Source organism: Homo sapiens, chromosome 3 (assembly GCF_000001405.40).
Source record: "Homo sapiens chromosome 3, GRCh38.p14 Primary Assembly".
In the NCBI taxonomy this organism is placed as follows: Eukaryota; Metazoa; Chordata; class Mammalia; order Primates; family Hominidae; genus Homo; species Homo sapiens.
In genome coordinates, this window is record NC_000003.12 from 131,972,445 (window position 1) to 131,997,474 (window position 25,030).

General features: G+C 38.4%; 1 protein-coding gene and 1 non-coding gene across 8 annotated transcripts in view; both read right to left on the reverse strand.

Annotated features, from left to right (window-relative positions):
• The window catches only part of CPNE4 (copine 4), a 506,038-nt gene that overhangs the window by 438,876 nt on the left and 42,132 nt on the right, over positions 1 to 25,030 (reverse strand). The gene's annotated exons all lie outside the window — the stretch shown is intronic.
• MIR5704 (microRNA 5704) lies at positions 13,411 to 13,487 on the reverse strand. The gene has a single exon (NR_049890.1). It is a non-coding gene; the product is annotated as a microRNA 5704 (primary transcript).

Below are 25,030 nucleotides of genomic sequence, written 5' to 3' on the forward strand. Positions count from 1 at the left end.
TCAAATAAACAGATGGCATTATTGGGAACATGGAATTCTGGTCTTTCCTGTTGGAATTTCAAAAGAAAAACATCGGGCCCCCAAGGAAGCTGCTGCTCTCATGGAACAAACGGTGCCCCTCACATCCGAGAAGAATCATTCAACAGTGTCAAGGGGCTAAAAAACCCATTCCTACAGCTCACAACAGGACCTAGTTGAAGACACAAAGGGAGAAGGCCATATGGTACAGAGCTCTAAATGGCTCTATTTTTAAGGTAGCTCTGAACTGGGCCAGAAGTGATCTAGGCTCTCATCCTGCATTTGTTCTTCCCTCCCTAGCTGACCTCAGGCAAGCTACTCATGTTTCTAGGATTCTACTTCCTCCTCCATAAATGGGAAGGCTGGACCAGATGTTCCCAGTGAACTTATCTCAGATCTGCCATTCTGAAATCACAAGTCTCAAAGCGTGGCAACAAAGCACTAATACAATCGGTTTTACTCCTAATCTTTCTCTGAAGTCCCAGCTTTCTCATATATTTTTTTAAAAGAATTGGAGCATACAAAGGTCTACAACTAGCTTAAGTCTCACCTTTTATTTCATCAATGTACATACACCCCTTAACTCACCTTTTTGGCCCTAAAAATCCCAACTGGTTGTAACAGCAGAGTGGGATTTAGCATAAACTCACAGTGTGTGTGGTGACCTGGAAAAAAGTCATTTTGTACAACGGATCTGTGGTATCATAGCCATCTTAAAAGATAATGAAACCTGAGTTTAAAGGAAGAAAAGAAAGGCTGGAGATTTTCAGCTGTGTTCAAAAAGATTTTTAGGTGATCTTGAAAGAATTCCTGTCATTTCAAAGTTCTACCAAGCCTCTGTTCTATGGACTGTTTCTTCTCCCCAGAGTCCATCTATGTAGGGTGCAAAAAAAATGTCAATTTTTTCCCAAGAAGAATCAATGTAGTAATAATAATAATAGAAATATGTGATGATGATGATATCTGATATTTCTATAGCCTCTGATATGGATCAGGCATGATTCTAAGTGCCTTACATATATTGATTAACTTATTCTTCAGCACAGCTTTTAATGATAGATACTATTATCATCTCCATTGGCAAACAAGGAAGCTGAGAATCAAAAAGTTTAAGTAATTTTTTCAAGGTCTCCCAGCAGAGCTGGTGGCAGAGCTGGTATTCAAACCCAGGCAATTTGATACCAGTATTAATGTTTTCAACTCAGTATACTGAATGACTTCTCCCACATCAAAATGTATCCATTCCAAAGAAATCTGGAAAGAATGTTTTGAACAGTTATAGCAGTGGAAGAATGGGCATGAATTTTTATCTCTAAGGTCAATTTAATTTGTTTATCTACTTAACTATTACCCAGGAAGAATAGGAATAACGTCAAAAGCATTTATCTTGTCAAAAACATAATTGGTTTGCCAAGCGTAACGTTATTTTTTACCCTAAGAATAGAGCAGATTGTCAAGCCACAAAGTCTGCATTCCTGGGCTCCTTACCCTATTTGAAAAATGTTATCCCAAACTGCAGTCCCAGACCAGTTTCTTTGAATCACCATGGCAACGAGAGTCAATAGAGATACCTCCATGTAAATTTACAAGGGAAGGGCTGTCATTAAAATCCTGTTTGTGGTAGAAAGGAGGTATTTGGACAGAATCTGTCCTACCAGAGACTTTTCATTCTAAAAAGGGAAACACTCTTGCTTTTGTCAGAACTTTCTGTTCTCAGGTCTTAATACATTAGTTTCTTTTTTCTCTCCCTGGAAGAGGTTAATGAAAGTCCTTAATTTCTATTTTCCTTCACAATGGTAATTGTAAAATGTCTTGTGCACATATATGTGTACATATGTGTTATGTGCATATGCCTGCATCTATACACACATGTGCATGTATGTATATACGCATCTACAGTGAATGCACATGTATATACATACAATGTGCACATACACACACCTAATACATGCATGCACATATGTACTGACTTCCCAACTCTCCTTGTCATAGCACACTCAGCTTAAATGACTCTAACAGATGACCTGCTTGTCTGGAAGTAAATTCAGCTGAGAAAAGATACCAAGCAGCATCTACCTTCTCTGCCTGTAATGAGAAAAGGGCCAACTCAAATGTGATCTGATTCATTAAGGTTACCATTCACAGAAAAGTCTCTGCTTGCTCCTCCCTGCCTCCCATACTCTGTGAACAGGGCCAAGCCTATCTGCCCATTGTTTCTCTTGCCACCTCAGACTGTTCAAAAGGGATTAAAGAAAAAGAGATGGGCTGGGCCCAGTGGCTCACGTATGTAATCCTAGCACTTTGGGAGGCTAAGGCAGGTGGATTGCTTGAGCTCAGGAGTTCGAGACCAGCCTGGGCAACATGGCAAAACCCTGTCTCTACAAACAGTACAAAAATTAGCCCGGCGTGGTGGTGCACACCTGTAGTCCCAGCTGCTCGGGAGGCTGAGGGGGGAGGATGGCTTGAGCCTGGGAGGTGGAGGTTCCCATGAGCGGAGATTGCACCCCTGCACTCCAGGCTGGGTGACAGAGCCAGACCCTGTCTCAAAAATCAAATAAATAAATAAGTAAAGAGAAATAAAGACAGAGAACCATCAAATTTTTTTCAAAATTCGTATTATTCATTTTTAACAATGGCTTTAAAACCGTCATCAAATTGAGATTGCAGCCTCAGGGGAGTTGGCAAAACCTATCCTGCAAGAGAGAACCGCCTGTCAAATTTTAACTAGGTTCTGGGGCTTTTAAATGTCCCTTTCAACACTAAGCCTGCAAGTTAAGAGAACCCAGTCAAAGTCATGAGGAGAAACAGGAAGCGATAAGAAAGTCAGCCTCCAGGCAATATAGGACAGAAGCACAGGTTTTCATGGTGTGATAGAAAAACCCCGGTTGGCAACTTGAGTGAGTTACCTGGGCATGAGAATGACTTCTCCTAGCTGCCTAGTCCTTCTACTTTGGGAATGGGGAGGATTGGATTCATTTACCCGAGGCTTCTCCCATTGCTATCAGCCTAGGCTTCTATGAAAACATTCTAAAACTATGACAAGCCCTGAGTGCAGCTGGCTCTAACTTCTTCAGCATAGTTCACCTCATATCCAGGGAAATCTACCCACACTGCTTCTGCAGGCCCTGAATGCCTACACTGCAGAAATAAACACCGTGACATTTACACCTATGGAGGGAAATGAAAGGTGACCCTGAAAAGAATCAGGTAATTTTGTACCAGTTGCTATCCTAAGGGACTTTGTAAGGTAGGGAAATCAGAGTATAGGCTGAAGTTCTTAGCACTTCTGTTTGTGTATTCGAATCATAAACATATATATGCATGCATAGATATGTATGCCTAGTGTACGCAGAACTTATCCAACAAATATATCAGGTTATGAGGAAATGACATGCAAATAAGGATGACCATCACATCATGGCTTGTAACAGTGAAATAAACAAACATAATAAACAATAAATTAAATAATTTAAATGTCCTCTGATACGGTGCGGTAAAATAGATAACATATCCATACTATGCAGTTGTGACAAAGATTAAAGTAGACTTATGGATGCTGATATTTAAAAAAAAACTATAGGACTTTTTTTAAAACTTAATAATCTGTCAATATTGTTGGTTTTTTTTTTTTTTTTAAAGAATGCACTCTCATTCTTTTCTCCCTCCCTCAACCTCCTGTAAAACATTCTACCTTAAAGTGTTTCTAGAAGGGTCACAGTGGTATTAATGATTGTATATGGGAAAGAAGGCTAGGGTCAGAAGCCTGGGCTAGGAGTGAGACTTACTTTTGTAGGGTTTAATTTTTTTTTTAATACTTAGACCATGGCTTATTTTTCCAATTAAAAAATAAGTTTGCTTCATATAAAAACAAACAAACAAATGAAAACACAACAGCAACAAAAACTTTGATAAAGTTCACCAAAGCTCTTTTCCCTTTATAAGACCACTATGTGGCAATTTGGGTCTGAGATGCTCTAAAAGAAAAAGACTTTGGTTTTTATTATTTTAAAGAGAGTGAAGATTTTAAAAAGTAGAAGAGGAGGAGAATAGAAGGAAAGAGAAAACAAGCCTTCTCCTGGGGTGTATGTCAGAATATTACATCTAGCATCAACACACAAGAGGAAAAGCAATTAAGGGAAGCTCAGGGGGAGAAATCATAAAAAAAGATCAAGGAAATTACTTCTGAGTTAAAGCCAAAGGAAATGACCTGATTGTATAACGACTGGAAAGTATTTGGCAGTTGGCTTTTACATATCTGAAAGGGATAAACAGTTAACACTAAAAACACCAAACACTAAAAAAAATTAATAAGTGATAAAGGAACAACATTATCATTCTTTTTTTTTTTTCTTTTTTTGAGACAGAGTCTCACCGTGTCACCCAGGCTGGAGTGGAGTGGCACAATCTTGGCTCATTGCAATCTCTGCCTCCAGGGTTCAAGCGATTCTCCTGCCTCAGCCTCCTGAGTAGCTGGGATTACAGGCACACACCACCATGTCCGGCTAATTTTTGTATTTTTAGTAGAGATGGGATTTCATCATGTTGGTCAGGCTGGTCTCGAACTCCTGACCTCGTGATCTGCCCGCCTCAGCCTCCCAAAGTGCTGGGATTACAGGCATGAGCCACTGAGCCCAGCCACATTATCATTCTTAATAAACCCACTTTAAGTAAAACTTCCTCATTCTTTTTCCTAAGAGTCTTTGTAAAGATGAAAATCAAATATTAACTAATTCTTCTGAGCAACAATATTCAAGCATCTTGGAGCTAAAGGGTAAAGGAGACACAGTGAGAGGGCTCCAAAGTTGCACTTAAATTGTTTCAAAGTGGACCAAGTTACCACATAGTTGATGATTAGTCCAAGCAAGACACCATTTTGTTGTCACAGTAATAAACAAGATACAGTAATAATTAGCTATGACAGCACCTTCTCCTTTCAGGGTTGTGAAAAGTAGCACAGGATAAGAGACACTCATACCTCAATTAGAGCCTACAACTGAAGTTGCATCCTATGCTTAAAATTCAGTGAATTTACATTTGACAATCACCCAAAAAAGAAACTATCTAGCCACCTCCCATACCATGCAAACACACACACACGCACATACATATACACCCAAACACAAACACATACAATAGAAACCACTGCTATGGTATTCAGTTTCAAGCATCTCCTCTATGCGGTTCTTTTTTTAAAAATTTTCCTACATCATTAAAGATTTTTATTAAAAATATTTTTTCATAAGTTACAGGGGTACAGGTGATATTTGGCTACATGAGTAAGTTCTTTAGTGATTTGTGAGATTTTGGTGCACCCATCACCCAAGCAGTATACACTGCACCATATTTGTAGTCTTTTATCCCTCATCCCCCTCCCACTCTTCCTCCTAGGTCCCCAAAGTCCACTGTGTCATTCTTATGCCTTTGCATCCTCATAGCTTTGCTCCCACATATCAGTGAGAACATACGATGTTTGGTTTTCCATTCCTGAGTTATTTCACTTAGAATAATAGCCTTTAATCTCATCCAGGTCACTGCAAATGCTATTAATTCATTCCTTTTTTATGGCTGCATAGTATTCCATCATAGATATATATAAATATATATAAATATATATAAATATATATAAATATATATATAAATATATATAAAATATATATAAATATATATATTTATATAAATATATATAAAATATATAAATATATATAAATATGTAAATATATATAATATATTTATAATTATTATATATAATATATATAATAAATTTACATATTTATATATATTTATATAAATATATATATTTATATATATTTTATATATATTTATATATATTTATATATTTATATATATTTATATATATTTATATATTTATATATATTTATATATTTATATAGATTTATATATATTTATATATATATTTATATATTTATATATTTATATATATATTTATATATATGTATATATATATTTATATATTTATATATATTTATATATATATTTATATATATTTATATATTTATATATATTTATATATATTTATATATTTATATATATTTATTTATATAAATATAAATATATATAAATATATATATATATATATGCCACAGTTTCTTTATCCACTCTCCTCTTTTCTTGGTTAATCTTGCCAATGGTCTATCAATTTTATATCTCTTGTTAAAGAACCAGCTTTTTGTTTCATTTACCTTTTGTATTTTTTTGTTTCAATTTCATTTAGTTCTGCTCTGATCTTGGTTATTTTCTTTCTTCTGCTGGGTTTGGGTTTGGTTTGTTCCTGTTTTTCTAGCCCCTTGAGGTATGACCTTACAGTGTCGGTCTGTGCTCTTTAATTCTTTTTGATGTAGGCCTTTAGGGCTATGAACTTTCCTCTTAGCACTGCCTTTGCTGTATCCCAGAGGTTTTGACAGATTGTCATTATTGTTGTTCAGTTTGAAGAATTTTTTAGTTTTCATCTTAATTTTGTTTTTGATCCAATGCTCATTCAGGAGCAGGTTATTTAATTTCCAAGTATTTGCATGGTTTTGAAAGTTCCTTTTGGAGTTGATTTCCAGTTTTATTCCACTGTGGTCTGAGAGAGTGCTTGATATAATTTCAATTTTTTTAATTTATTGAGGTTTATTTTATGGCCTTTCATATGGTCTGTCTTAGAGAAAGTTCTACTCACTGTTGAATGGAATGTGTATTCTGCAGTCGTTGGATGAAATGTTCTGTATATGTCTATCTATAAGTCCATTTGTTCCATATAGTTTAAATCGTTTCTTTGTTGACTTTGTCTTGATGACATGTCTAATGCTGTCAGTGGAGTCTTAAAGTTTCCCACTACTATTGTGTTGCTGTCTATCTCATTTCCTAGGTCTATTAGTAATTGTTTTCTAAATGTGGGTGCTCCAGTGTTAGGTGCATATCTGTTTAGGATTGTGATATTTTCCTGTTGGACAAGGCTTTTACCATTATGTAATGTCCCTCTTCATCTCTTTTAAGTGCTGTTGCTTTCAAGTTTGTTTTGTCTGATAAAATAGCTACTCCTGCTCGCTTTTGGTGTCCATTTGCATGAAATGCCTTTTTCCACCCCTTTACTTTAAACTTATGTGAGGCCTTATATGTTAGGTGAGTCTCCTGAAGGCAGCAGATGGTTGGTTCGTGACTTTTTATCCATTCTGCAGCTCTGCATCTTTTAAGTGGAGCATTTAGGCCATTTACATCTAATGTTAGTATTGAAATGTGAGGTACCATTGCATTCATCATGCTGTTTGTTGCCCATGTATCTTGAGTTTTTTTTTTCCTTTTTAACTTGTATTTTTGTTTTATAGGTCCTGTGTGATTTATGCTTTAAAGAGACTCTGTTGTGATGTGTTTCCAGGATTTGTTTTAAGATTTAGAGCTCTTTTAGCAGTTCTTGTAGGGGTGGCTTGGTAATGGTGAATTCTCTCAGCATTTGTCTGTCTGAAAAAGACTATATTTTTCCTTCATATATGATGCTTAGTTTTGCTGGATACAAAATTCTTGGCTGATAATTGTTTTGTTTGAGGAGGCAGAAGATAGGGCCTCAATCCCTTCTGGCTTGTATGGTTTCTGCTGAGAAATTTGCTGTTAATCTGAAAGGTTTTCCTTTACATGTTACCTGGTCCTTCTCTCTCACAGCTCTTAAAATTCTTTCCTTCATCTTAACTTTGGATAACCTGATGAAAATGTGCCTAGGTGAATATCTTTTTGGATGAATTTCCCAGGTGTTCTTTTTGCTTCTTTTATTTGGATGTCTAGATCTCTAGCAAGGCCAGGGAAGCTTTCTTCTATTAGTCCCCCAAATATGTTTTCCAAGCTTTTAGATTTCTCTTCTTCCTCAGGAACACCAATTATTCTTAGGTTTGATTGTTTAACATAATCCCAGACTTCCTGGAGGTTTTGTTCATATTTTCTTATTCTTTTTTCTTTGTCTTTGTTGGATTGGGTTAATTTGAAGACCTTGTCTTTGAGCTCTAAATTTTTTTCTTCTACTTGTTCAATTCTATTGCTGAGACTTTCCAGAGCATTTCACATTTCTAAAAGTGTGCTCAAAGTTCCTGAATTTTGTATTGTTTTTTCTTTAACCTATCTATTTCATTGAATATTTCTCCCTTCACTTCTTGTATCATTTTTTGGATCTCCTTGCACTGGGCTTCACCTGTCTCTGGTCCCTCCCTGATTAGCTTAATAACTAACCTCCTGAATTCTTTTTCAGGTTAATCAGGGATTTCTTCTTGGTTTGGTTCCATTGCTGGTGAACTAGTGTGATTTTTGGGGGTGTTCATGAGTCTTGTTTTGTCATATTACCACGGTTTTCTGGTTCCTTCTCATTTGGGTAGGCTCTGTCAGAGGGAAGGTCTAGGGATGAAGGCTGTTCTTCAGATTCTTTTGTCCCACATGATGTTCCCTTGTTGTAGTACTCTCCCCCTTTTCCTATGGATGCGGCTTCCTGTGAGCCAAACTGCAGTGATTGTTGTCTCTCTTCTGGGTCTAGCCACCCAGCAAGTCTACCCAGTTTTGAGCTGGTACTGGGGGTTGTCTGCACAGAGTTTTGTGATGTGAACCGTCTATGGGTCTCTCAGTGGTGGATACCAGAGCCTGTTCCAGTGGAGGTGGTGGGGGATGCAATGGACTCTGTGAGGGTTCTTAGCTTTGGTGGTTCAATGCTTTATTTTTGTGCTGGTTGGCCTCCTGTCAGGAGGTGGCGCTTTCCAGAGAGCATCAGCTGTGGTAGAATGGGGAGGAACCGGTGGTGGGTGGGGCCCTAGAACTCCCAAGATTATATGCCCTTTGTCTTCTGCTACCAGGGTGGGTAGGGAAGGACCATCAGGTGGGGGTGGGGCTAGGCATGTTTGAGCTCAGACTCTCCTTGGGCAGGTCTTCCTGCAGCTGCTGTGGGGAATGGGGGTGAGATTCCCAAGTCACTGGAGTTGTGTATGTAGGCGGATTATGGCCGCCTCTTCTGAGTCACGCAGGTTGTCAGGGAAGTGGGGGAAAGCTGGCAGTCACAGGCTTCACCCAGCTCCCACACAAACTGAAGAGCCAGTCTCACTCCAAAGGGCTTGGTTCTTCCCCTGCCTGTGGAGCCTGCACACCAGATTTGTGCCCTCCCCCGAGTTCTGGCCAGAAGGCTTCTCATCCAGTTCAAATTGTTACAAAGTTGAGCTATAGATATGCTTCTCCCCGTGTAGTTTTACCCAGTGCTCATCTCGCGTTGGATCACTGTGGTGCCAGGCAGGAGTGGCCTGCTAGGAGACCCAGCAAGCTCCCAGGGCCTTTCTGCTGCTTCCTCTACCCCTGTATTTCACTCAGCTCTCCAAATTGACTCAGCTCCAAGTAAAGTCGGAAACTTCTCCCACAAACAGACCTTCAGCTTCTCCAGTAGGAGTGTGTGTTTGGGAGAGGAGGGTCTCCCTTTCCCACTTGGATCACTCACAGTTTTGGGGATGTCTCCCAGGTCCTGCAGGAGCAGACCCCTTTCTTCAGAGGGTCTGTGGGTCCTCTGGGGATCGCTGGTTTGTTCTTGCAGTCAATTTGGAGCTAAAACTCACAATATGAGCCCCCGCACACTGCTCTGTCCAGAGCTGCAATCTAGTCCTGCCTCCCTTCTGCCATTATGATCGAACCTCTTCTTTTTATGTTTCTTTAAAGGTCCACTGTATGATCACTGAAAGCTCTGGAACCTTGCTAAATCTACATTGCTTGACTTCATTTATCAAGATAAATTGTCTTACTACTAAAACTTTATGCATTCAGATCTCTTAACAGATGAGCCATTTTAAACTGGTTAAAAAATTTATGTATATAATTCAGTAAAAACAGTTGCAAAGATATAAATACATTTGTCATGAAATAAGTTAATGAAGATATCAGAATTCTTAAGAGCCCAATTAAACTGCAGTTATTCATTGCACACCTTTTGTGCACTGGATGCAAATGTACTCAGGTCCTTTATTGCAAAAATGAAGTGCTAGACTGAGAAACTGAAGCCATATAAAAGCAGTAATTGGTTTCTCAAATGCAGTTATTATGTGCTGAGTTATTATAAACAATTTCTCATCCCCTTTACCAGGATTAGTGTTTACGGTTAATGGAAGGTCATAACTTTTACTTTATTATTTGTGTGCTTTATTGCCAGAGTCATTGGTGGTATATTATTGTGATTTACTTGCATGAATTTTTTTGTTTACACATAAGAAAGTACATATTGATTTTTTTAGAAAGATCAAGATTTATTTTATTATGTGTGTGAAATATATTTCACTTTAATTGGAAACTTTAAATTGGCTTATAATAAATTACATATATATGAAATACTTTAAATTGGCTTATAATAAGGAAACTTTAAATTGGCTTACAATAAATTACATATATATGAAATACTATCTAAAAATATTCTGCCTACATTATCATCATGGATGCTCTAAAGTTTATGCTTCTATTAAAGTGATAGATAACATTGACATGAGCAAACAAAATCTTTAAAGAAAAAAAGATGAGACAATTATCTTTTAGTACATTTAATTACTTCATCATTTTTATTTTCCAAATTATGTTACCAAAATTTTTGTCTAAAAATTGAAACTAGAAAATACTATAAGAACACTAATACTGAATGATATTTTTATAAGTTTTAGGCTTTCTGATTAATAACCATTACCTTGTAAATATCTAAGTTCTCAGGTACTTAAGTTTAGGGTCTTAGTAGTTAACTTAGATTAATTCCATATTTGTCAAAGTTTATTGAAAATTGATGCAATTATTTTTCTCTAACAGTAGGATTCACCCTTAAAATGTATATAGTTTTACACTACAATTTTAAATACAGAATCTGGTAAGACTAATTTACACTTATATCACACTGAGACTGTGTAATTGCTAGAATGCCACATGCATCTTTAAAATACATACATATTATAAATTCCTTGCTACGACGTGGAGCTGCACAAAAAGACTTACTGGATATCCTAATTAATACAAAAAGATCTCTTTAAAGTGCATAACTTTAAAGGCACTGATTTCATGAAATTCCAAAGTCTTCCAGTTAAGCATTTACCTAGTTATAATTAGTTCCAAAATTCAAAACCAATACTTTGTATAAGGGTATAATTTATAAAGTGGTAGGCACACTGTGGGCAAAGACATATTTCACTCCTAAAATTTTGGCATGATCATCCCTTGGATTTGAGAACAAGCAAAGATAAAATTATATAAATATTTTCTATAGATGATTTTCCTTAATGTCTGTGGAGCCAAAGAAATACTCCAAGATGTCAGAGACTGATATCAAGAGTTTTCCAGGAGGAAACTGAAACAGGCAGTTGCAGCCACTATATCCATCGAAGACAACAGCTGCACAGAATCCTTGGAATCAATTGATTTACATCTATGTGTCTAATGTGCCCCAAGAGAGTCACTGTGTCTTCAAATCACAAATTACTTCAGTGCTGTGGATATGGGAGAAGCACAAGGTAATCATCAAGCCTTACAGTGAATTCAGTACTCCTGCCAAAAGCAACCAGAAGCATTTTGCCCTTCTGACTGGTAGAAAACTTGACTGCTCCTATGTAGAGCTCAGCATCTGAGACAACTCCTCTTCAAAGCATTGTTCCATGTGCTCTCACTATAACACATTAGCTAGGCAGGTAATGTTTTCCTTTCAGTTGAGACTTGTAGATTTTTACTCCTTTAAGAGGCCACACAAATGGTAAGTGACTGAGTAAAGACTCCACAAAGATCTCCTAACTCTTCATCCTGTGGTCTTTACACTGAACTGCACTGCCTCTAGATAAACTTATCTTTTATCATATTAGAATTTAATGGTTACAACAGTACCGTTTCCCATTATTAAAAGTAAAACTGCATAAGGGTTTCTTGTGATTTTAATTCACCAAAAAGAGCAGTGCTTGTGCATACAGAAAGAAATACACCATGAGATATTTGTAAATATTAGAGCTGGGACAAACCTTAGGAGATGAACTAATGCTGCTTTAACTCTTCTCCCCCACCTCTATCAAAGTAGTTGATGTGTAAACAAGCTTCTGGCATGAAAACCCTCCCATATATAGCTACTGCTATCAAGTGTTTATTGAGCTACTATAGATATCAGTGCCTGCCTATGTCCCTTTTTCCCTGAACGATTTTTGCATATGCTGGCCCATCTTCCAACTGTATCACCTACATCACTTTCCTTAAGGGCTTGTTCTGGTCACTGGATCCTTCTCTGCTCATATACATGGAAGGTTGTAGTGCCAGAGAATTAAGAATTGATGACTGATAGGAGTTGGTAGATTAATACCTCAGTTTCTTCTGTCTTCTAGGGAGATACCTCTGAGGTCTATCTTCCACATTGGTTCTCAGAGTTCCCCAGTAAGATTAAGCTCCAATTACTCACAATGCAAATGTGTGTGGTAATCCACTCCTTGTTGGCTTTCTTCTCTTTCTTGTCTGACTTCTCCATCTACTACCAGTATTTCCTGGGGTGACCTCTGTCTTATATTGGGCTGCTATGACAAATTACCATAGACTGCATGACTTATAAACAACAGAAATTTACTTCTCAAAGTTCTGGATACTGAGAGTCTGCGATCAGGATGCCAGCATTGTGAGGGCTCCCTTCCAAGTTGCAGAGTGTCAACTTCTCATTGTGTCCTCACATGACAGAAAGAGTTAGAGAGCCCTCTAAGTTGTCTTTTGTAAGGGCACTAATCCCATTCATGAAGACTCTACCCTCATCACCTAAATTACCTCCCAAAGTTCCTACCTTCTAATACCATCACATTGGGGATTAAGATTTCAACATATCAGTTTTTTGAAAGGGACACATCAGTCTATAACAACCTCTCAAACTACTTGCACCCAAATCCTTGTCTTGGAGTCTGCTCCTGGGGACCCAACCAAAGATATTAAGTGTTTTACTATGCATCATGTTAGAAGCTTAGTGCATTTCTGTTTTATGTTAATTAATCCTCAGGATAATCCTGCAAGCTATTTTTAATACCCATTTTAAAGATGAGAAACATGGAACTTACAGACATTATAATTTGCCTATGATTGCCCAAATAGGAGTAGAAGAGCCAAGATTCAAAAACAGGTTTATCTGACTCCAGATCTTATTTTAAACACTGAGAATCATAAGTTCTTTTTCAGTGCTGCCCCACAGGTTTATATACAAAATAAAAAATATATTGGATCACTTCGTAATCAGTGGAATTCAATGACCAATTGAAACCAATTAAGTCATATGCCCATCAACTCCAAGGGAATACTATATTCAATGAAAAACCTTAAGTGAGATGCTGTAATAAAAGCTATCACTGATTTCTGCTACCTAGTCCATGTACTGAGCACAACACTGATGATGGGATAATTGTCTGGTCTTGTTTAGGCCATCATCCTGTTATGTTTGCCCATGGACTTAGCATAATGGGATGATGGCCTAAACAAGATCAGACAATAGTGACTATTGGAAATAATTCTAAGGGTTTTCAACCAAGATGGATGGAAGAAATACGATAATTATATCCATCTTTTTATATTTCCCAAAGGAGTAGATGCATTGAAAACATTATTTAAACATATTAGTAACTGCTAAATGGTAAATTTGAGGTTAGGAAAAGTCATCGCTTGAGAAGACTACTGAAAGATCATTTTACAACTGCTTTAACCAGATTAAGCCCTTCTCCTTAGCAGTATTTACCTATAGGGGGTGTGTAATGGCAAACCAGCTCTCTAGGAGGAAGTCAGGGAGGAAACAGAACCTGATTGGTAGTGTTTGCCAATTTCTGTTGTGTAAATATTCCCACCATGGCCAAGTTCAAGCTACCAACATGATGTCATTGAATAATTTGAATGACATTGTATATAGTTGGAAGCACACAATCTGCCCTCACAAGCCAGTATGGGTCAGCTCTAGCACACCACTGTTCCCACAGGATGATGAGAGCAACAACCTAATGGCTTAAGTGCATCTCCTTTAGGTTCTAGGGAAGATAAGAGATGAGAAAAGCAGCAAACAAACAAAAAAGCAGGCAAATCTGCTCTAGGCAAGATCTGCTTTATTCTGAGAGGTAACGACTGTTCTCTCCTAGCATGGATCAGAGACAGGAGGAATTGTGCAACATAGAACTTAAGGAGGCTGGGCCCGGTGGCTCACGCCTGTAATCCCAGCACTTTGGGAGGCCAGGCAGGCGGATCACGAGGTTAGAAGTTCGAGACCATCCTAGCTAACATGGTGAAACCCAGTCTCTACTAAAAATATAAAAAATTAGAAGCCGGGAGGCGGAGGTTGCAGTGAGCCAAGATTGCGCCACTGCACTCCAGCCTGGGCGACAGAGCGAGACTCGGTCTCAAAAAAAAAAAACAAAAAAAAACAAAAACAAACAAACAAAAAAAAAAAAACAAAGAACTTAAGGATAGACAGAACAGTGTTTTTAAATTTCAGCTGCATATTACAATCCCCTAAGAATTTTCAAAAAGTCCTGATGTCCAGTCCTCACTCAAGGCCAATTAAATCAGAATCTCTGGAAGTGGTACTTAGGCATCAGTTGATATCAATGTGCAGCCAGCAGTGAGAATGAATGCTCCATAAAAACACTTCTCAAATTTGAATGTGCACATATTCAAATGTGTGATTTGTGGGTGATTTGTGAAAATTCAGACTCTGAAAATATTAAGTAAAAAATAGTGGTATTTTGTAAGTTCAAGAACATGAAAAGCTAATAAGCTAATTAACGATAGTAGAAGTAAAACCAGTGGTTGCCTCTGGGAGAGTATTGACTGAAAAGAAGAAGGAAAACCTCTTTGGTGCTGGAAATGTTCTACATTTGATGTGGGAAAAGGTAACAAAATTGACACAATAAGTAGTACACTTTAGGTTAGTACACTTTACAAATTAAGTTGTACAGATTTTTTTTTTTTTTTTGAGACAGAGTTTGGCTCTTGTCACACAGGCTGCAGGGCAATGGCATGATCTCAGCTCACTGTAACCTCCGTCTCCCAGGTTCAAGCGATTCTCCTGCCTCAGCCTCCTGAGTAGCTGGGATTACAGGCATGCACCACCACACCCAGCTAATTTTTTGTATTTTTAGTAGAGACAGGGCTTCACCATGTTGGCCAGGCTGGTCTCGAACTCCTGACCTCACGTGATCCACCCCCCTTGGCCTCCCAAAGTGCTGGGATTAGAATAAATACCAGGCACCATGCCCAGCCAAGTTGTACACTTTTAGATTAGTATACTTTACACAACAAAATAGTGAAACTGGGGGAAAAATGCAGAACCCATGTAGGTTCTGATGGTCTAGATTTCTAACACGTTCCCAAGCAATTCTGATGCTCGATAGCATCTGATCTTACTTTGAGTCTCAAGGCTCTAGACTAGTGTCAGGGTGACTTACAAGTCGATTTGCTATAAATGTTTACCCAGTGCTTATAATGTGCCAAGCACAGGGCTGTTGAATATTAGGTCCATGAATAAGCATTTGGCTTCCTTTAGGAAGCCACAGTCTACTGAGGGCAAATAGTTAGTGTGATACATTTATTCATTAATTACAAATACCATAGTGAGTCTCTGCCATGTGCTATGAGTAGGTGACACAGACATGAACAAGTCAGGGAAAATGCTTGTTCCCCTTCCCCCAGGATTTATGGATATTAGACCATAAAACACACATATATTTACTCATCCCAAATGAGATACATGCTATAAGAACAGGGTGAAGTTGAGTTGTTGAAAGAAGGTCAATATGGTTGGAAAGTGAGAAGTGACAGTTAGCAGTAAACAATGAGGTCACTGATCCATATAGGGGCCGGAGAAAGCAGGGCTTGATGAGCCAGGTTAAGGATTCTGGTCTTTGTCTTAAGAGCAATGGGAAGCCTTTGAAAGGGCTTAAGCAGGAGAGTGGCATAATCAGATTTGCATTTTTAAAAAGATCACTCTAACTGCATTGTGGTGAGCCAGTTGGAGAGCGGCCAGAAAGAGGGTCAGTCTAGTAGACCAAAAGAGAGATGATATTAGCTTGGATGAGGGCAATAGCTATGGAGACAGAAATGGGCCTAGTTTACGGATATTCATGTAGGAATATAGACAAATCTTGATAGTTGATTGACTACAAAGGAGTCAAAGATGACTTTGAGTGTTCTCACTTGCACACCTGTAAAAATCAGGGTGTCATGCACAAAAATGGGGAGGAACACTGTCCTTATTGTTTCCGTATTCTCCAGGCTTACCAGAATAATCTCAATTTTATGTAAATTTATTTTTTAGTTAACATAGTTTTCCAAATATAAGATTTATAAATAAATCCACAAATTAAAAAATGTTTGACAATGATACCTCTTTTTCCATGGTCAGCATAGCTGAGGAAGAGCTAGATTCACATAAACCTGGATCACTGTAATGCCAGGCCCACTTATGTTTCACTGTGGACATAAAGACCCCAAAGCTCAAAAGTTAAATACAAATTATTCTTTTCTATGCATTTCCCCTCTTTCTTCCCTTTAGGACTCATAAACTAATAGTTGACTATGTTATATAGAGATACATGCTTAGGAAACTGCTTATAATTGTGTGCACTGCTGTTTTGCCATTGCTGATTTTACTTCTCAGAGTGATGCATTTTAAAGGTGTGTTCAAAGCCCACCTGTCTGAATGACTCTCAGGTGCCACACAAAGGGTGGCAGATGATGAACATGACCTCTAGGAGATAAGAAGCAGACCTGGATGCATTATTGCATTATTATCCTTCTAAAAGAAATAAAACCTTTTGGTGGCTATTGAGATCAGATTCAACGTGAAAATATAGGAGTTTAGAGTTTACTGGAGTCCCTGTAGGTCAACTAAGTGCCCCTAAAGGCTTTCAGGTAGCATAGATTGTTTCAAGCATAAAATACCGCTTTGGAATATCAAACATTAAGCTCTCATCAAACACTGTAGGTGAGTAAACAGAGGCTTTAACTACAAATACATGTATTAAAAATTTCTTCTTGAGCAGTAACAATGGCCAAAGAATTGCGCAAGTTTGGGAACCTGTAAACCAAGAGTCCTACCCTCATGGTGCTGTATTCTACCAGGAAAACAGATATGAGAAGAACCAAAGAAAATTCAAGATAGAATGAAATTAATGCTGAAAAGAGAGAGAAGCAACTTTTGTGAAAGCCAAAAGAATGACATATTTTCTCTCACTGGGAGACAAGAAAGCGCTTATTAAAACAATGTAATTTGAGGTGGTGATAGGTGAGGAATAAATCCAAATTTTACGGGTGGAGAAAGCATGTCCAGTCCAAGATAACACCATGTCAAAAATATCAAAAAGCAAAATTGCTTTCAGATTTTGGGAAACACGTAGTAGTACAGTGAGAATAACGTTCTGGTGAGACCAGGGTGAGCAAGCTTATAACCAAGCATGAAGGGCCCAGAATTCTGGACTAAAGAGGCTTAAATGTAACGCATGGGCTCTGGGAAGCCATTGAAGGAAAGGCAGGAAGCTCCATTTGGAAGGGGAATGTTGCTGGACTATGGGCATAATGAAAATAATGGATTATTGTGAATTTGTAGCCAAAGCCCACATTCTCTTCAGGTGAATTGCAATGCCCATTGTTTCACTGGTAACTTTGTAAAACAGAAGAGACATTTAAAATAATGTATCTTCATTTATCATTTTGTGTGTCATACAAGTCTCTGTAAACTTATATGACCACATCTCCAAGATAGAAAGATTTATCTATATTTAATTCTCTAAAAGAAAAGATACAATCAGTAAGTTTAGTTTTACGAAAGAATAATTTTCACTATCTAAATTATGATTGTGCAGGCTATAGGTTATTTTACTAAAAAATTATTGGTTCAAGGACTGAGTTGAGTTTTGAGTTCTAGCCAATTTTTTAGTGCCTAAGTCTAAACAACTATTGTTATGTAGAGGTGGAATAAATGTTTTATGTGTGTGTTATGTGTAGAATAAATGTTGTTTTTGGTTCTTTTTCTTTTTTTTAAACACCCCCTGCCCCCAGTAAACACAATAACAATTATATTGTATGAAGCATTTCAAGTACATATTCAATAAAATACGTAAGACAAATGTTATATGACTTGACAACATAATACGTATAGAATAAAATATGAAAAGACTTGGATTATTTTCATTTTCTTGATCTTTTACAATAAAATAAATACCTGATTTGGAACTGTATACTTCAAAAATTTATTGGAATAATCGTTGGTGTCCCTTTCTTTTTCTGTCCTAGTGTAACTTATTTGTCCAGGATATCCATTGTTGAAGGAAAAAGGGAGGATTCATATGGCTTGGCTGTGTCCCCACCCAAATCTCATCTTGAATTATAATTCCCATAATCCCCATGTGTCATGGGAGGGACCTGGTGGGAGGTAACTGAATCACGGGGGAAGTTACTCCCATGCTTTCTTGTGACAGTGAATTCTCACAAGATCTGATGGTTTTATAAGGGGCTTTCCCCCCTTTGTTCAGCACTTCTCCTTTCTGCTGCCACGTGAAGAAAAATATGTTTGCTTCCCCTTCCACCGTGATTGTAAGTTTCCTGAGGCCTCCTTCCCCATGCCGAACTGTGAGTCAATTAAACCTCTTTCCTTTATAAATTACCCAGTCTCTCGTATGTCTTTACTAGCAGTTTGAGAATGGACTAATACAGTAAATTGGTGCTGAAGGAGTAGGGCATGGCTATAACGATGGAAGCAACTTTGGAACTGGGTAACAGGCAGAGGTTGGAAGAGTTTGGAGGGCTCAGAAGAGGACATAAAAATGTGGGAAAGTTTGGAACTTCCTAGAGAATTGGAGAACTCAGAAGACAGGAAGATGTGGGAAAGTTTGAAACTTCCTGGAGACTTGTTGAATGGTTTCAACCAAAATGCTGATAATGATATGGACAATGAAATCCAGGCTAAGGTGGTCTAAAATGGAGATGAGGAACTGTTGGGAACTGGAGCATAGGTGACTCTTTCTATGCTTTAGCAAAGAGACTGGCAGCATTTGCCTTGCCCTAGAGATCTGTGGAACTTTGAACTTGAGAGAAATGATTAGGATATCTAGTGGAAGAAATTTCTAAGTGGCAGAGCATTCAAGAGAAAGCAGAACATTAAAGTTTGGAAGATTTGCAACCTGACAATGCGATAGAAAAGAAAAATCCATTTTCTGGGGAGAAATTCAAGCCCACTGGAGAAATTTGAGTAAGTAATCACCAAGAAAATGGGGAAAATGTCTCCAGGGCATGTCAGAGACCTTCATGGCAACCCCTCCCATCACAGGCCCAGAGGTCTAGGAGGGAAAAATTGTTTCCTAGGCTGGGCCTCCTGCTCTGTGCAGCCTTAGGATATGGTACCCTGCCATGTCCAAGCTGCTTCAGCTCCAGCTGTGGCTAAAAGGGGCCAAGGTACAGGTCAGGCTGTGGCTTCAGAGGGTGAAAGTGCCAAGACTTCACAGCTTCCATGTGGTGTTTGTCCTACAGATGCACAGAAGACAAGAATTGGAAACCTCTGCCTAGATTTCAAAGGAGGTATGGAAATGCCTGGATATCTAGGCAGAAGTTTCCTGCAGGGGTGGAGCCCTCATGGAGAACCTCTGCTACAACAGTAAGGAAGGGAAATGTGGGGTTGGAATCCCTACACTGAGTCCTCAGTGGGGCTCTGCCTAGTGGAGCTGTGAGAAGAGGGCCACCATCATCAGGACTCCAGAATTGTAGATCAACTGACAGCTTTTACCATGCAGCTGGAAAAGCCTCAGACACACAAGCTGTGAAAGCAGCTGGAAGGGAGCTGTACCCTGCAAAGCCACAGGGACAGAGCTTCCCAAGGCTGTGGGAGCCCACCTCTTCCATTAGTATGACCTGGGTGTGAGACATGGGGTCAAAGGGGATCATTTCGGAATTTTAAGGTTAATGACTGCCCTATTGGATTTTGGACTTGAATGGGGCCGGTAGCCCCTTTGTTTTGGCCAATTTCTCCCATTTGGAATGGTTCCAATGTTTGTATCCCCATTGTATCTAGGAAGTAACTAACTTGCTTTTAGTTTTACAGGCTCATAGGTGGAAGGGACTTCCCTTATCTCAGATGAGACTTTGGACTTGAACTTTTGGGTTAATGCTGGAATGAGCTAAGACATGGGGGACTGTTGGAAAGGCATGATTGTGTTTTGAAATGTGAGGACATAAGATTTGGGAGGGGCCAGAGGCAGAATGATATGGTTTGGCTGTGTCCCCACCCAAATCTCATCTTAAATTGTAGTTCCCATAATCCCCATGTGTTGTCAGAGGGACCTGGTGGGAGGTAATTTAATCATGGAGGCAGTTACTCCCATGCCATTCTAGTGATAGTGAGTGAGTTCTCACGAGATCTAAGGGCTTTATAAGAGGCTTTTCCTTCCTTGCTCAACACTTCTGCTACCTGCTGCTATGTGAAGGACACATTTGCTTCCCCTTCTGCCATGATTGTAAGTTTCCTGAGGCCTCCTTAGCCACGCTGAACTGTGAGTCAATTAAACCTCTTTCCTTTATAAATTACCCAGTCTTGGGTATGTCTTTATTAGCAGCATGAGAATGGACTAATACAAAGATAATGGAGGTTGAAGAGATAATGGAGGATAAGGCACATGATTTGCTTTTCAGCAAACTTGCTTTTCAGCAGACCTAGAGAATGAAGAATTGCATTACCTTGCAATAAGGAGTTAGGTCCATAAAAAATCGTTCTGTTCTCTATCACTTCACTCATGAAAGTATCACAAGTGGCACTAACGTTCAAAAGGAAGAATATTTTGATGAATTCCTTTGCTATGTGAAGTTAAGTAGATTGATAAATGCTGTCCAGGTTCAGGACCTTTAAAGAGGATACAGGAAACTTGAAATCTTAATTTCTTGACTAGCATTCTTTTGAAAAAGCAAAAGATGATCATGGAGAAATATTATTACTTAAAACTATTCAACTCTGGGTCACTCAAGCAGAAAACACCCTGATTTCGTGTGCAGGAGTGGCAAAAAAAAAAAAAAAAAGCATAGCTTTAGAAACTAAAGTTCTTACATTCACTTTCATGACTTTGTCTGTGAAAACATGGGTTCTGCATAAGACCAACATCCTAAAGTGCAGCAGAAGCAGAATCAAAGCCCTTGGTAGAAGATGAGCTCTAGAAAGTTTTCTAACCCACAGGAAAAATTCTCTTTTGCACCATTGTAACTATTAATAAAAAATACTCAAAGATGTGTTAATAGGTAATGCTCTCAATTTAAGATACTAACTTTACATTTCTCTAATTATTGCTTGGAATAATATCCCAAGCTTTAAAAATACCAGTAAGACAGTCCCATTCAATATCGGAGTAGAGATCTTTACTAGTGCAAAAATACAAGAAAAAGACATACAAATTAGGAAGAAACAAGAAACAATGCTGTCTCTGTCCTCAAATAAAATGATTATTTACATAGAAAATCCTAGAAGTCTACAAAAAGGCCATTAGAACTAAGTGAGCTTAGCAAAGTTGCATTGTAGAAAGACAATACACAAAAATCAATGACATTTCTATATATTAGCTATGGAATGGAAAATTTGCATTTTGCAAAAGTACTATTTATAATGGCACCAGAAATGTAAAATCTAAATCTAGGTAAAATCTAGATCAGCATGAAAGATGAAAGTCTGCATCTAGCAAGATATGTACAAGATTCATATGCTGTAAAAACTACTAATGAGAAAAATTAAAGACCTGAACAAATGAAGATGTATAACTCAACTTCATGGATTGGAAGATTTAATATTGTGTAGAATCAATGCAGTTCCAACCAAAAGTATCAGTAAGGTGAGTTTTTTAGTTATATTTTGTAAAATATAAACTTACGTAAGAGAAATAAAAGATAACCCCAAACTTCAAGTATAATGAAATTACACTTTGAAATGTCAGCTTCTTGCTTCTCAAAGTAAGGTTCATGGACCAGCAGGAGCAGCTGCACCATCTGGCAGCTGCTCAAGACCTGCTGAAGGAGAATCTGCATTTTAACAAATTCTCCAGGCAATTCAATTTATATGCATATTAAAGTCTGAGAAGTGCAATGTTAGTGTGATTTTTCACTTCCAGCCCTTCAAAGTTCAGGTAACATAAATTAATTAAATTCTTTTGAAGGTTTGTGTATTTCTTTGGGAGAACCCTATGTACTGGGCCCTGAAGCCATCTCTAAGGTCTGAATACATTAAAGCAAGTAATTACTTAAAATAGCACCTACTCCTCCCAAAGGACGTAAACTTTTAGAGTAGCATATACACTGGGGAGATGGATAAAACAGATTTTTAAAAACCTTTTCTATAATGAGACTGTCACTTGTACAGAAAAGCATTTAATCAATGTTAAAAGAGAAGTAACCAAAAGCATATGCTTCCAAATACTTTTTTCCTTTTAGAGACAGGGTCTTGAATCCTTGCTATGCCAAACAATTTTTTAATAAAAATGTATTGCTCTCTTTCCTGTTCAACTTTTAAGGTGCCTCTCTTCCTTGACTCCTACCTCTAGGAGGTAACATAAAGGGTCTTGTTGTTTGTTTGTTTGTTTCTGTAGAGAGGGGATCTTGCTATATTGCCCAGGCTGGTCCCAAACTCCTGGGCTCAAGCGATCCTCCAACCCCTGCCTCCCAAAATGCTGGCATGAGCCACCATGCCCAGCTGTAGAGTTTTAATTTTATCTGTTCTCAAATCAGAATTCACACACACAAACACACACACTCTCACACACTCACACACCTGTTCATTTAAGGAAGTTCCAACACATAGCTATTTCATGGGTTGAGCCAGGACTTAGATATTTCTATAATATTATCATTATCTCTTTAAGTTTGTGTATGTTTATTCTTTCTAACTCCAGTATCCAGGCCTTTTCTCATGTGTCTCTAAAAGATAACCCCCCTTCAAGGTTCTGTGGAGGCCTTTTGCTTCCCAGTATCCAAGTTTATAATGCTTCTTCACTTTTCTTCAGGAACTCCATTCACAAAACATTGCATCCGACCATGAGAGCAGATCCTGACACCTGTACTTACTCGGCCACTACCTGAGCAAGATGCCTCAGTGTGAGAAAAGACACCATGAAATGAGACCACTCTGAAAGCAAACCAGCCAGTACTTGGAAAGCCTGAAAGCCAGTAAAATGAAGAAAGCCAGAGGGAACCATTTAGCCTGGCGACTGCCTAGCAGTTGACATCATGGGAATCTTCCCAACCTCCTTCATGGACTACCTATTCCTGAGAAATCATCTACATAGTACATGATGACTACTTTCTGAGCACTTACTACTCAAGTCTCACAAGTCTATTATCTCGATGTGGTCCCTAAGAGAATCTCTATTCCCTGGTTTGTCAACCAGATGATTTCTAACAAATGAATTGCCACTGCAGCATATTTAGCAAGGAAGAGCTCCGAACTTGCAGTATTTCATTATATCAAAGAAATGACCAACACCCCTTGGTCAGTAAACTCTATCACTATCACATGCATCACAGTTAGGACTCCATGGCTCATGCTACTGAATTTAGAAGTGTCATTCCTGTGCAATATCTGACATTCACTAGCACAATCCATTTAAAAAAATATATGCTGTTGATCAAGCCAAACCTCAGCTTTCTTCCCTCTTGAAGTAATTGGCTGTGACTCATCCATTTGCACAGGACACGATAAAATGCTGTCTGTGTTTTGAAGAAATTAAGTGCCTGATTTAATCCACGTGTCTTCCTTTGGAGATTTAATTATTCATTTCTCCATGAGAGCAAAAGGTTGGATGCCTTGGGTAATTTATAGCTGGGGGATTGTGGAAGAACATGGAGAGTAGGAGGAGAAAGAAGAGAACCAGGGGAGAAACTCTATTAAAAATAAAGTGAACTCAGGCAGGAAGGCAGAAAAGCTGGAGATGAAAAAGTCAACAAGTAGGAGGGAAAAGAGTCATTGCCCACAGTGAAGGCAGAGAAAGATGAGAACTAGAAGGAGACACTCAATAATGTCAGAGTAAAATGGAGAAAATAATAAAAAAAAGAGAGAAAGGGGAGAGAGAGTCCACGATAGGAACAGAAGAAAATCCTCACACCACCAAGCCTAGCGGAGCAGCAGTGACGGTACTTAATGCAGTCCAGCACTCATCTGGTCCCTCCACTTAGATATCATCTAGTTGCAAAGTCCAGATGTGATTGGATCAGATTCTCCTGACAGGTTATGAGCTACAGCATAGGTCTATAGTGTCTGTGGAATCCTCAGGCTCATGGGATTTCATTGTCATAGTTCTGTACGGCGTGTTCTGATTTCTGAGTTAGGAGAGGATAATGAGGGAATGGCCATATTGCTTTGAAAAAGAGCCTTTCTTTCCAGAAATGGAGCAGTCCAGAGTTTCAGGAGACCTAGAAAGTTTGCACCAGCATTTTTGAAACAGTCCAAAATGTACAGAACATCTGCTTTAAGAATTATGAGGACCTACATATCAATGAGAATGACTGGACAACACTGAGAACTCTTACATGGAAATAATAATATAACAACAGGCCTGGAGTGGAGGGGCCATATAAATGCTAGCACTTGCATTATTACTGGAAACACCTCCCCCTAACTCAGGTATAGTAAAAGTTCCTCTCTCCACCATAGTTTTGATATAACCTATAGTCATATAAAGGCCCATAGATTACAGCATCTCTGCAACTTTCTAAATTACTTCCCAGGATATTAAAAGTCTATTTGTAACCAATAATGGAAAGGGCAGACCACTCCAGAATTCAATTTTCAGTCATTCCAACAGCTGCTGTTATCCTAAACACAGAAACAAATTTTGCAGGCCAGCTTCAGCCCAAATAGTTCCATCTCCTCCCCACTGTAGAGACTGGTCTTCACACAGCTGAAGACGGTTAATGCTACAAGCAGCAACAAAAAGGGGACTCCTGAGAAATGGTCTACTTAAGGATTCAGTATCTAATATTCAGTTAGTTTTCCTTAGTCCTGGCTCTGCTATCTGGAAGCTATGTG